The following is a 13,455-nucleotide window of genomic DNA, read 5'->3' as shown; positions in this document are numbered from 1 at the left end:
TCTTTTTGATAAATATTCCAGATTGTGAAAAAAAAATTGCCTTAAGTAGCAATTCTACAATGAGATTTATTCAGGAGAGGACATCTATAAAAAGTTTTTTCATGTTTCCCGGATAACTTGGGAACCTATGTTTTCTGAAAATACTGGATATACACAGATGCTAAGAAATGTCTCAAGTGAGCAGAGTAAAATACAATGGTTATAGATGCTAGAACTGCAAGGGGCATCAGAAGGAAAAATGAATTATTTTGCTATGTTACCTCCTGCACACCAGAGGGCTCTGCACAAATTGTGGTTGCCTGCTTTTCTACTTGGAGATTACAGGTTTAGTTAAGAGACTGGTAATCTTTCTGTAAAGGGCCAGGCAATAAATATTTTAGTCTTTGCCCATCAGCTGATCTCTGTTGCAACAACTTGACTCTGCTGCTTTTACATGAAAGCAACCATGGACTACGTGCATATGAATACGTGGCTGTGTTCCAATAAAACTTTAGTTATGAGCCCTGATCTTTGAATTTCACATGACTTTCATGTACCATAAAATGGCATTGTTATTTTAAAATTTTTTAACCGTTTAAAAATGTAAAACTTCTTAGCTCACAGGCTATTCAAAAACAGGCAGGCCAAATTCAGTTTGTGGGCTACAGTTTACTGACTCCAGGTCCAGTTAAATAATAGTAATAATAATAATAATAATAACAACAACTTCCATTTGATGAATCCCTATCTTGTGACAAGCACTATATACATTTTACCACTCATTTTTCAGGTGAGGTGGTAAACAAACATTCAGAGAGGTTAATTTGGTCAATGTCACAAAGCAAGTAAGTAGAAGAGCTGAGAACCAAATGCAGATTTGTCAGTCATGGAATCCATGCTTTTCACCATTATGCCATGCTGCCTCTTAATTTAAAATATGCAGTTTTACAAAACTTACTGATCAAATTGTGGCTCATATTTGCAGGCTTTTGTTAATAGGGCACTCTAGAAGGAGTTAAGATGAGATTCAAGTGTTGGTACCAGCAATGCCAATAATTCCCCATGTGACTTTGAGGAAAGCTCTCGAGTTTTCTGAGTCCTCTCAACCATAAGACAAAGGGATTGGAAGAGGGTATAGTGATTTTCAAGGGCAGTGGCAATTTTGTCCCTCAGGGACACTTTGTAATATCTAAAAACATTCTTGCCTTCATTTGCCACTGATAACTTGCAGGAGTGTGCTATTGACTTCTAGTAGGTAGAGCCCACGGATGGTACTAAACATCCCACAATGCACAAAACAACTCTTCCCCCTCCACCCCACCCACACACACAACAAAGAATTATCCAGTCCAAAATGTCAATAATGCTTAGATTGAGAAACCATGGACTAAGGTTTGAGGAGCTAATGTACCAATTATCTCCTCAATTTCTAAGAACTTGAATTTTTTTATTCATTTCATGAATTCATTTGGATTCATTTAATTAAAATCCAACTCATTTCTCCTCTGTGAATCATAGATTCCTTTTTTATAAAACAAGAGGATTAAACAATATAATCCCAGAGATTCTTTCCAGCTTTAAAAAGTTCAAGCGTATGATTAATAGGGTAATATTAAAAATAAATGTTGTGCTATTAATTCCAAGATAACACGAGTCATTTTTATACTTTTGTCTCATTAACTAGTGCTGCCCAACTCCCTCATCCTCACAGGGCAAAGTTTGTAAATTTGAAGTTCATGGCCTGAACTCAGCCTGCAGATGTGTTTTGTTTGGCCAATAGAGTGTATTAGAACTTTGAGAGTTAGTGGCCAACATTTAAAAGACTGGATATTTCCAATCAACATCCACATTTCCAGATTTTTTTTTTTTTAAATCATAAGATCTAGCAACTCTGGACTTGATTCTTGCATGGCAATGGCTAGCTGAGGCTGAATAAAGCTATTTCTTTAGATGAGGCCTAGTTCTCCTTTAACCAGACTTCATAGCTCACAAATTTGAACTATACCTGGCCATCTTCATTTATTTATATGACTTCTGTCCCTACCTGCCTGGCTCCTCAAGGTAGCTGAATTTGCTCCTCCTGTCCTAGAATTCTCCATGTGCTCATGGAATGCCCAGAAATGCACACGGTGGGCACTTAGAATTGTGGAATTTTAGAATAAATGAAATACATGTTAAACCCTGCAATTGAGTCTAAGTAAACAAGAGGATAGGAACAGGATGAGGAGAACAGTCTTTGCAGCAGCTTGTAAAAACATCTTAAGAGTTTTAACGGACAGTATGAGGCAATGGTGTTCTGTGCCTGCCAACTAGCTAATGTGATCCCTGGCTATATTATTAAGAGTGCAACATTCTGATGGGACATAGGGCAGTCCTGCTCTTCTCTCTGCTGCTCAGATGCATTTGACTCATCATGATTATTTCTTGGCACTACACTTGAAGTGAAGTGATTTTAACAAGGAGTTGAACAATGAATTGGTGAGATGGCTTAGAATCTCTTCACTGGAGTGAGATTTGAAGAAGCTGGGGCCACTGATTCTGGAGAAGAGAGGGCTCATGAGGCACAGGTGAAACTTTTCAAATGTTAGCATAGGTGTCCTGAGGAGGAGGTACAGATAAGCACCATGACCTTCAACACACGCTTCCACCCCTCTCTTTGAGCTTCAGTTTTCTCATTTTTATAATAAGGGGATTTGATTTTTAATCCCCTGAATAAAAATTAATCTTGAATAAAGCTATATAGCTACGCAAAATAAATGAATTTACAGCTGCTTTGGTTGGGGGGTTTAGGAGGCCTAGAGCCTCGACTACTTAGCTCTTCTTTTCAGCCCTACAAGTTTCACAACTGAGAGAGCTCTCCAGAGCCATGGAGTTTGAAAAACCCTGATCTAGATTTCTAAAATTGCTACTAATTCCAAAGCTTTTATATATCACTCAGCCTGTGTTTTCTGGCTGTGAAACAACAAGGAAGGCTTTTGGAATAAGCTTAGGGATGAGATGCACTATCAAAGGCAGGGATGGGGAATAGAGAGTCCCAGTGAAAGAAACAGTAAGAGTCATGGAGAACTACACAGACTGGCTGAAACCTACTTTGCTTAAAGTGAGTCAATCCCCACTCCATGACAACTGTCTACTAACAAATGATGATGGCAGCTTTGTCTTTGTTTCTTTAGATGCTTTTGAAGTCTGGCTCTTGTCGACAGTGTGGTTTTCTCTTTAACACCAAGTCCACCTCCCCACCCCCTTGCATTTTGTGGTTGTCATGCAGTTTGAGGATTACCCCAGTGCAGGAGGTGGGTCCCCATTGGGTTAAGCAGTCATGGTGATCCATCTTTCTTCACAGTGATTGGTTCAGGAGCCCAGGCCCCAGCCAATCAAAGTGTTTAGAATCCCTGTAATGAGGATTGTTAAGGAATGAATGTATCACCCAGCTTGGGCAATGAGAGCTGCAAGGGGATGTTGGCTGAGGCACCCTTTAGGAAACGTTTCTTCATTTGTAAGAAAGAAGCAAATGAAGAGATAGTTTCTGTCTTCCTCTGGATATTGGAATGTGGTCATGTGTGCACTAATGGCCTAGAGTTGCTGCAGCCATTTTAGTGATAGCCTGAATAGAAAGTTGGCCTGTGGAGAAAGACTGAGTCAAAAGAACTTCAGGACAGTGGAGCCGTCAAATCTGAAACCTGCTGACCTTCTGGACTCGTAGGCATGTAAGCCAATAACTTCCCTTCTTTCCTCATTATCTTAGCCAGTTTCATTTAGGTTTTCTGCTTCTTTAAGCTTAATGAATCTCAACTGATACACCAGCTCTTCCAAGCCAGAAAGGTTTCCTTTCGATGACGGTGCATGGGAGTAGTGAGTCATGTTGAAGAATGGATCAGACACATCTTATGTCCCACCTCAGAGTCTCTTGGCCTTACCTGCCTTTTGAATCCCAGATTGCTTATTCTACCCCAGCTGCTGCAGCAGTCTGATTCTGTGATAACTCACAGTGTTAAACTTCCTAAGGCCAACCAACATCACTCCTGAAATCAATAGTGGCTCACAACACTTTTGGACTCATACAAAGACCAAGCTGCGGGCACGAGACCTGGCTTCCTGAGCAGCTGCTATAGGAGCCAGGTGATGCAACTTAGGATTGTGGGGGAGTTAAATCTCTGGAAGGTAAAGTTTGAGCAATGGAATTTAGGAGATGTGAAGGAGCTGGCAGACACATTTCCATTCCTCCATGCAATAGACTGAACCAAGGAGCATGTTCCTCCCGGAACAGCCCATGTGGAAATATCTCATATAGGTAGACTGATGCCCCTGCTGAAATGCAACACCTTACGTTTATAGTTCTGCTTCAAACTGCCTCGCTTCCCTTTTCGCTCAATTTTGCAGCCATAAAAACATACCTCCTAAATAAAGCATTAGCATTCAATACTTACCTCAGGCTCTGTTTCTAGGAAAGCCATTAAGCTAGAAAGGAAAAGATCAAAGAAGAAATAAATGGTGGAGAATTAGACTATTGCCTGGGTGTGGTTTTGGTATTTAGCAAATCAATCTTAGATTAACAATCTGGGTGGAATGCACACCATATAGTATATACTGGTTAAGAGCTCAGAATATATAAGTCCCAACTCTGCCCTTTACTAATTGTGTGATCTTGTTTAAGTTACTTAAGAATCTAACTTGTCTAATAGGGTAATTGTGAAGATTAAAGAAGATAATGCATATAAAAACATTTATCACAAGGTTTCTCAACCTTAGCTCTATTGACGTTTTGGGCCAGATAACTTATTTTTGTGGGGGACTGTCCTGGGCATTGTAGCATGTATGTTAATATCTCTGGCCTTTGCCCACTAGATACAAGTAACCTGACCCAGTTGTGGCCATAAAAAAATGTTTCTATAAATAGCCAAATGTCCCATGGAGGCATAATTTCCCCCATTTGATAAATACTGGCCTATCCTTAGCTGACAGCCAGCACCAAATGCTGTACATGTAAGTGAGGTCACCCTAGACCTTCTAGCTCAGCCAGCAATCCTGCTGAATGCACCCGTATGAATGAACCCCTCCAAAACTACCAGAAGAATCATCTAGCCAAAACATAAAATTATGAGAAATCATGAATTACTGCTATTTTAAGCCACTAACTCTCGGTTGATTTGTTATACAGAAATAGAAAACTAAAGTGAATTGGTAACTAGAAGTATAATGCTGCCATAACAAAAATCTCAGCTATGACATTGGCTTTGGAACCAGATGGTGGATAGGGGCTGGAAAGAGAAGAGAGAAGAGAAGTTAGAGGAGCAGAAAGGAAACTGTGATTGAAGACAAAAAAGAGGTGGGGGACAACCTTGGTATAGACTGGCAGAATTATAGTAATTTGGAAGATAAAAAAAAGTACCGATTGAACTTGTTGGATCGGTCTAAAGAAAGATTCAAGCAGAAGGATAAAAATACTAAATTTTTAACTTTAACTCCATATAATACAGTATGAAAAGAGAGATTAGCTAATTAAAGAACTGTAGCATTTGCAAGCAGAATTAAGAGAAAATGTAAGAGAACAAGTACTTGCTGGGTTGGAAAATAAAACTGTTTTATACTTTATGTCTCTCCAGCTGGCAAAAGATTATCAAAGTAAAAAATGGCTTCAGGGCAAAGATCAGATCAAACCAAAGGTGTAGCTATAATATCTTTTGTTAAGATCTCATAAGATTTAAGATGCCTAATCCTTTTAGCTAGAAAAAAAAACTTCTAATCATCTCAGTGGCATTGTCCCAAAGAAGCCTAACTTTTCTAAAGTGGATAGAGGTCTGTCTCAAAAAAAGAATTGTGGATTTGGCTTTTGGGCACTTGGAGTAAGTGCTGTTAAGATGAAAGGGGAGAACCACAAAGATTTTAAAAGAATTATGTTGCAATAGAATTAGTAACCTGAATTTTGGTACCTTGAACTGAAAGGGATGAAGACAGTTCACATGACAAGAGGCTTGTGAGAAGCAGAGCACACAGGCTTCTTGAGAAAGCTACTCAGATACAAGCAAGATTCATTTCCTTTAGAAAAAGAAGAGCCTTTTAGAAAGCTAGACAAAGAGCTCAGAGAGCAAGGTGAAGATTCGAGGAGAAGAATGAGCCCACTCCAGGGGTAAAGAACCTGTTTCCAATCGAGGAACATTTTCTGCTCTCAATGCAGGAAGCCTGACAAATGCGACATCTAAATTTCAAGACTGCTAAGAGTTAGTGACTTCTATGTGTCTCCCATTATCCCATTAGGAATGGGATTGTCTTTTGTAGATCATTTTCCCCTAACTCAGTGTTATATGTTGGGTGTGCCTGGGAAAGATACCTTGTCTTTTTAATTTACAGGGCTCTGGAGTTGCTACTGTTCAAGATTTGCTGTGCCTGAAACCCACACTTAAGAAACTTCATTTACATACAGACCTGAAGAACATCATAAAATTCTGGACTTTGAACTTGATGCCATAATCTATGAGATAACAAACCTCCAAAATGGCCTCCTATGGAGTTTTATAGTGTCCTCCCATACTGAATAGGGCTGGCCTTGGTAGTTAACGAACTACTAGAGAAAAAACTATGTCTGTCTTTCAAAGCAAGGCCACAAATGACACTTTAGATTTTTCTTTGCTCTCTGTCATATCACTCACTCTGGGAAAGCCAACTTCCAACCTTACAGGGAGGTCGACTTAGAGAGGAATGGAAGTGTCTTGTCCACAACCACGTGAGTGAGCCTTCTGGATAGTGGGTCCTCCAGTCCTATTCAAGCCTTCACATGGGACATTTTGACTGAAACTTCGTGGCTGACATTTTGACTGAAACTTTGTGGGACACCCTAAGAGAGAAGCACTCACCTCCTGAATTTTTGACTAACAGAACAGTGAAAGATAATACATGGTTATTGTTCAATTTTAACAAGGGCAGCTACATTTTGGAATTATTTGTTATGAAGCAATAGGTAACTGAAATAATTGGGATTAGACTTTTGGAGGTCTTAGTTTGGATGTGAGAGTATTTTACATGTGGGAGGAATATGAATAATTTGTGGCAAGAGGGCAGAATCTATAGATTGTTTAATGGCCACAAATTCCTCTCCTCCCAGTATGCATGCATGCTCCCTTTTCAATGTAACATTTCTGGCTCTCCCATCCAGAGATGGACCTTTGTTTTAAAAAAGCATGTTATTGAGGCTGGGTGTGGTGGCTCACACCTGTAATCCTAGCACTTTGGGAGGCCTAGGCAGATGGATCACTTGAGGTCAGGAGTTCAAGAGCAGCCTGGCCAACATGGTGAAACCCCGTCTCTACTAAAAATACAAAAATTAGGCAGGTGTGGTGGCAGGCGCCTGTAATCCCTGCTATTCAGGAGGCTGAGGTGGGAGAATCACTTGAACCCAGGAGGCAGAGGTTGCAGTGAGCCGAGACTGTGCCATTGCACTCCAGCCTGGGCAACAGGGCTAGACTCTGTCTCAAAAAAAAAAAGAAAAATTATTGAATCTGGACATCCTAGTGAATCACTTTTCTAAATAGAATTGGCAGAAGTAAATTTATGTGACTTCTGAAACTAAGCCTTGCAAGGCCTTGCTGCTTCTTCCTTTGTCCTCTTGGATGGCTGCCCTGAGAAGGCATCTAGGAAAGTCAGTCCAGTCACCTAGAAGGTGAGAGGCCACATGGAGAAGAACTCAGGCACCCCAACTGATAGCCAATAGCCTCTCCCAGACTTGTGAATGACGCCAACTTCCAGCCCAGGCAGATCTTTAGCTGAGTGTGGCTATGCAAGCAAGCCTTGGCACATTTGCCAGAGGAACCTTCAAGCCAACCTACACAATTAGTTGCTATTGTTATGGGGTTGTAAGTTAAGCAGCAAAAGACAAAACAAACTTTATTGTAACAATTTATATAAAGTATAGTCTTGAACTTGTTGTTTCTCAATAATATCAAAAGCTTTATTTCAAGAAATTATTGTTGATGACATCTTGGAATATTGTAGAATAATGGCCCTTATGTTCTATGTAGACACAACTTAAAACAGAATTACTGGCCCTTTTTTTTTGTGGAATCAGCCGCATGCCCTGTGTACTTGCTCCATATTGTCTATCCAATACAAAAAACACATACCTGTCTTAGTCAATTGTCTGTTGGTTTAACAGGATACCTGAGATTTGGTAATTTATAAAGGAAAGAAGCTTATGCCGCTCATAATTCTGGAGGCTGGGAGGTCCCAGATCCAGGGCCAGGCATCTGGTCCGCTTCTGATGATAACCTGTGAGAGATGAAAACTCACTCCCACAAGAAAGGCACTAATCCCTCTTAATGAACTAATCACCTCCTAAAGATATTCTTTCTCAGCACTGCCACATTGGAGACCAAGCTTCAACATGAGTTTTGGTGGGGACAAATCATATTCAAACAATAGCAATGTCCAAATCTGTAATATTTAGCTATGCATTTTATGGGACAATTTACTTAAAATTGAATTTTTTAGATTTCTTGACTAATTCAACACATTTGCATTTGCTCTCCTTCTCTTACATATACAACTTTATACTTGGTTTAAAGCAGGTCATCACAGAGGCATGGATATTATTTATTATTGAATTTGATTCTCACAACAACCCTATGATGTAGGAAGGATAGATATTTTAAATCTTCATTTTGTAGATGAGGGAAACTCAGTAATACTAGATCCTTCAACCCATGATGTACATTTAAGGTAAAGGGATTTGCTTGCATTCATTCTTTGCATTTTGTTCCCTTCCTGCTACAATGGTGTCTAGGTAATTACTAAGGGCCTCCACATTTAACATTCAGTGATCTGAATGAATTCACTGTACACTATGCTATAATTCATCTGGTGGGAAACTGAATGCCAAAAGACTGTTAGCTTTAGTAAGTGGTTACTGAGTTGCTTGGTTGTCTAGGCAGTTTGGTGGTGGGAGATTCTGTTTCAACGTCTGTCTGGGGAGGCAAACAAACAAAGCTTTAAACCCTGTTGACACGTGTGCCCTGGGTGACTCAAGATTCTGACAGGAAGATAGTCTCTGGCGTCCCGTTACCTTACGACTGGAGCAATGTTCCACTGGATGTGGAATTCCTTGGAGAGGAACAATGTGGTTAGTTAAATTATGGGCAACTGTCTTTAGGATGCAAATCAGGAAGGCAGTGGGCTCAAGGTAGACACTTAGGGGAATGGGTGGTTTTAAGAGACTCTGAGTCAGGTCTGAGGGAATGAATGGAGGATATGTACCATGGGAAATCATATTATATGCTCTGCAAAGTGAAAAGCAATAAGTAGACCACTTTTATCTTTTCCAGTTTACCACATCCTCAAATTCACACCACACACCTACAGATATAGTTTATTTTCCAGCGCTATAGGATTCTTGCCATTCTTTGAATGCAGATCCTCCCATAAGGTATTTCACAGTCTAGGTAGAAAGGCATATAGCAAATATAATAATGGCACTGCCCTTTAGTGTGTGTTACCCAAGGTAAGTAACTTATTCTTTCTGAGTCTAAATTACCTCTTCTGTACAATGGTAATGATAATATTATTTACCTTACATGGTTTGTGAAGAATAAAACATTTACAAAATGTCCAGCATATAAATAACACGGACTAAATATTTCCTGTTAAAAACTAAGTTACTTGCAAATACCTAAGCCTCAAAATATAGAACTAGAACTATGTTCCAGTGGATGAACTAACATATACTGAGTGCCAATTATGTGTGATGTACTTTGCTAGGCTCTTTCGTACACTCTTATTACATGTAACCCCCATGAAACCCTCGGGACAAAATTATTTCACAAATCAAGTTTCAGAGAAGGCAAATAACATGAATAAGGCCTTGATGGTGTACCATTTTAGCATTTGATTTACATAGAAAAATCTTAAGGACAACAAGAAAAAAAAGTTTTTTTTTTTTTTTTTTGAGACGGAGTCTCACTCTGTCACCCATGCTGGAGTGCAGTGGCATGATCTCGGCTCACTCCAACCTCCACCTCCCAGGTTCAAGCGATTATCCTGCCTCAGCCTCCTGAGTAGCTGGGATTACAGGCACGCACCACCATACTGGGCTAATAATTTTTTATGCATAACATAGCACACACACAATTGATCAATTCTATCCCATTAAAATTAGAGATTTCTATTTACTAAAGATATCATAAACAGGGCTAAAATTAAAATCCAAAGCTGGAAGATATTTGTAATATATACATGACAAAGGATTAGTATCCATAATACACATACACACACACACACACACACACACACACACACACACATTCTCCTAAAAATTCTTAAGAAAAAGATCAAAAACTTAAAGGGCAAATAAGCAAAAAATACAAACAGGACTTTTACATAAGAGAAAACATATGTGTTTCATAAAGTTATGAAGATATTCAAGCTGATTGGCAATTGAGGAGATGCACATTGAATACCTTTTTATGACCACTAGGTTGACAATAAAAAGTTTGACAATGTCACTATTTCCAAGAATATGAAGAAGAAAATTATCAAACTCCATGGGAGAGAGTGTGAGTGAGTATACTAACGTTAGAACGTAATTTTGCCTTGCTTAGAACAGAAGAGTGACACTCCTTATGACTCAGCACAGCCAATTCTAGATATGTTCCACTGATAAATTTCTGTCCAGCTGCACACAAAAACAAGGTCAATATGTTTAAAACAGCGTTATTCAGAATAGCAAAAACAACAACAGCAACAAATCCAAATGTCTACCTGTGGTAGACAGATAAATAAAGTATGGTATAGCAGCACATTGTACACCAATGAAAATGAATAAACCACAGCTATACTAGCAACATAGATAAATCTAAAAAAAAGTTCAGCCAAAAAAGCAAGTCATTGAGGAATACATTCTGTATGATTCACTACATAAAGTCCGAGACCAGGAAAAATAAATGGACAAAACAACAAAAAAGAAAGTGATTAACATTAAGTTTAGCTTAAAAAGTTCCTCTAGTGTGGAGGGGGAGATGATATCAGGGATGACCATACACGAGGGTTTTAAAGTTCATGCACTCTTTCATATGTGTGATGTGTTTCAAATGAAAAAAAGATTAAACAAACACTACCTCATTTCACCTCCCAAATCTCTAGCATTGAGTCACAAAAGACACAGAATGAAATTTATAATACCATATGATTTATATAAGTTAAAGACATATACACACCCAAGCCAACACTACATATTTTACAAGTAAGCATAAATATTTAAGGACATATTTCAAACTCATTAACATGAAGGCCTGTGGCAAGAAGGGAAGTAGGAATCAGACAGGGGGAAAAGATAGAATGGGTCAAGAGAAGTGCCATGAATGAATTGTTTTTAAGTTATGTAGGGTTATTTATTCCAACTATGTTCCCAAAAGGATTTCAGGAGGCAGAAAACATGGCAAAAATATTATTGTAGTTCTCCAATCCATGTTCCGCATCTTTGAGGCATTTAATTTTCTAGATTCCATGGAGGTCAACAGGAACGTTCTATATTGTAAAGGAATTCAAATGATTTTGACAAGGAGCAGTTTATTTTCTGAAAGCTAAGCTGGGTATTAGGGAATGGCAGGCCTTGGAATTAGAGAGGGAAGCTGAGGACAGAACGTGTGTTGGGCATGACTAGGGCATTTTCACGCTTCATTCCTATCCCACGAGCTCTGTTTTTCCTCACCCTGTCAGGACTGAAGGGAAGGAGAAAGCAGGTGCCCCCTTTCCCAGTCTAATATTACACAATTGATCATACAGAATGGAGTCCCTTGCCAAGCTAGATGGAATGCAGGTTTTTTGGTTGCCCTGGTAGAGCCACAGCTGATTGCTCACTACAGATCCTGCAGTTTATCCCAAGGGTTTGTTTCTTCAGCTACTCTGAGGCTTCAAGCAAAGAAGAAATGGAGTAGGATGGTCCAGATTTCAGGACCACCACTTGGCCCACATACCTGCTACACAGACAATTTGCAAGAAGAGATAACTAAAGGAGTGAGGATTCCCAGAAGAGGAGTGAAATCAATGGCATAGAAAACATGAGCAGATAGATGGGTTTACCTTAATCAGCGAAAGGAGAAACCTCTTTCTTGTTATTTCCAAGATAGGAGTAACAGATGTAAGACATGAAGATAACTTCATATATATATATATATATATATATATATGTGTATATATATATATATATATATCTTACATCATATATATGAAGTAACTTCATATATATAACATAAATATGAAGATAACTTTATAGATAGGGGAGGGAGGGAGATCATGATGAATGCTTCAATTTTCTTGCAAAAGTAGACAGTTATAGTTGGATACAAAACTTTCTGCTAAGTGCTAAAAAGGCTAAGTCACAGAGCCTTAATCCCAAAAGTTTGCATTCTACTTTCAAGTGCTCAACTTACATGTATATATAGGGCAACCTATGCATGTCTAAGGATACTAAAAAAAGGGTGCTCAGAGGAAGGACAGAAACAATCAGTGTGGCTTGGCATAGTCAGTGATGGTGTTAGACACACCCTTGGTGCTCCATTTGCCCTTGCCCTTCACCCACCTCTAACTTCAACTACAGTTGTAGGCAGTTCAGAATCACTTCCCTCTGCCAGAGTCCCTGTCTTTCAGCTTCTTCCTTCAGGACCCTGGGAGCATCTTCAGCCTGCTGGAGGGCACAACCTGGGGGAGATGTTACACCTATGTTTTCTAGTTTGTAGAGAGTAAAGTCTATACACTTTACTTCCAATGGGTGAGTAGCTGTAAATCTTTGCCTGCAGGCTCTCTCTGACAGCAAGACCCCACTCTGTCTATATGCTGGGAATGAAGGAAGTGCCAGGAAATTAAACTCCCACCCCCAACCCATGGCATAAACCTCAAGTGATGACTTATGAAAGTGGTGGATAAAGTCCCTCCAGCCAATCTCTCTGCAGGGATAAATCTGAGGCATGTTTCTACACTGGCAGCTCCCCAGCAGGATTCAGCTCCAGCTGCCTATAGTGGTAACTTGCCTGCTCTCACACCCTTGATTGGCTTCCTTCCTTCACACTATCAAGTTCCCACTCTCCTACAGGTGCTTCCTTGCATCACCTCTTAAATGACTTTCACTCGAATCCTTGTCTCAGGCTCTGCTTCTAGGACAACCTAAATAAACTAAGACAGTACTGTGGGGGCAACCCTCATTCAGGAACAAGGGAAGGGGAACAAGGAGTGAAGAAGCCTATGGATAAATGCTCCAGTTTCCTATACAACTGGTGGATAATTGTGGAAGGCATGCCTTACATTTCTCAGGAGGTCCTGGCAATGGCGACCTTGACAATATACCTTATATTGGTTTTTCCTTTCCCATTTCACTCATCACACACTCTCACTTCTGCTTCTTGGGATTGTTCTCAAGTAAATGACCAGCATCTGGGTCTCTGACTCAGGCTTTTGTTTTCTGAGTAACTCAAACTAAGGCAGAAAGCTTTGTGGGAA

The sequence above is a fragment of the Homo sapiens genome, chromosome 1 (genome assembly GCF_000001405.40).
Source record: "Homo sapiens chromosome 1, GRCh38.p14 Primary Assembly".
Lineage (NCBI taxonomy): Eukaryota > Metazoa > Chordata > Mammalia > Primates > Hominidae > Homo > Homo sapiens.
This window is presented reverse-complemented; position numbering follows the sequence as displayed.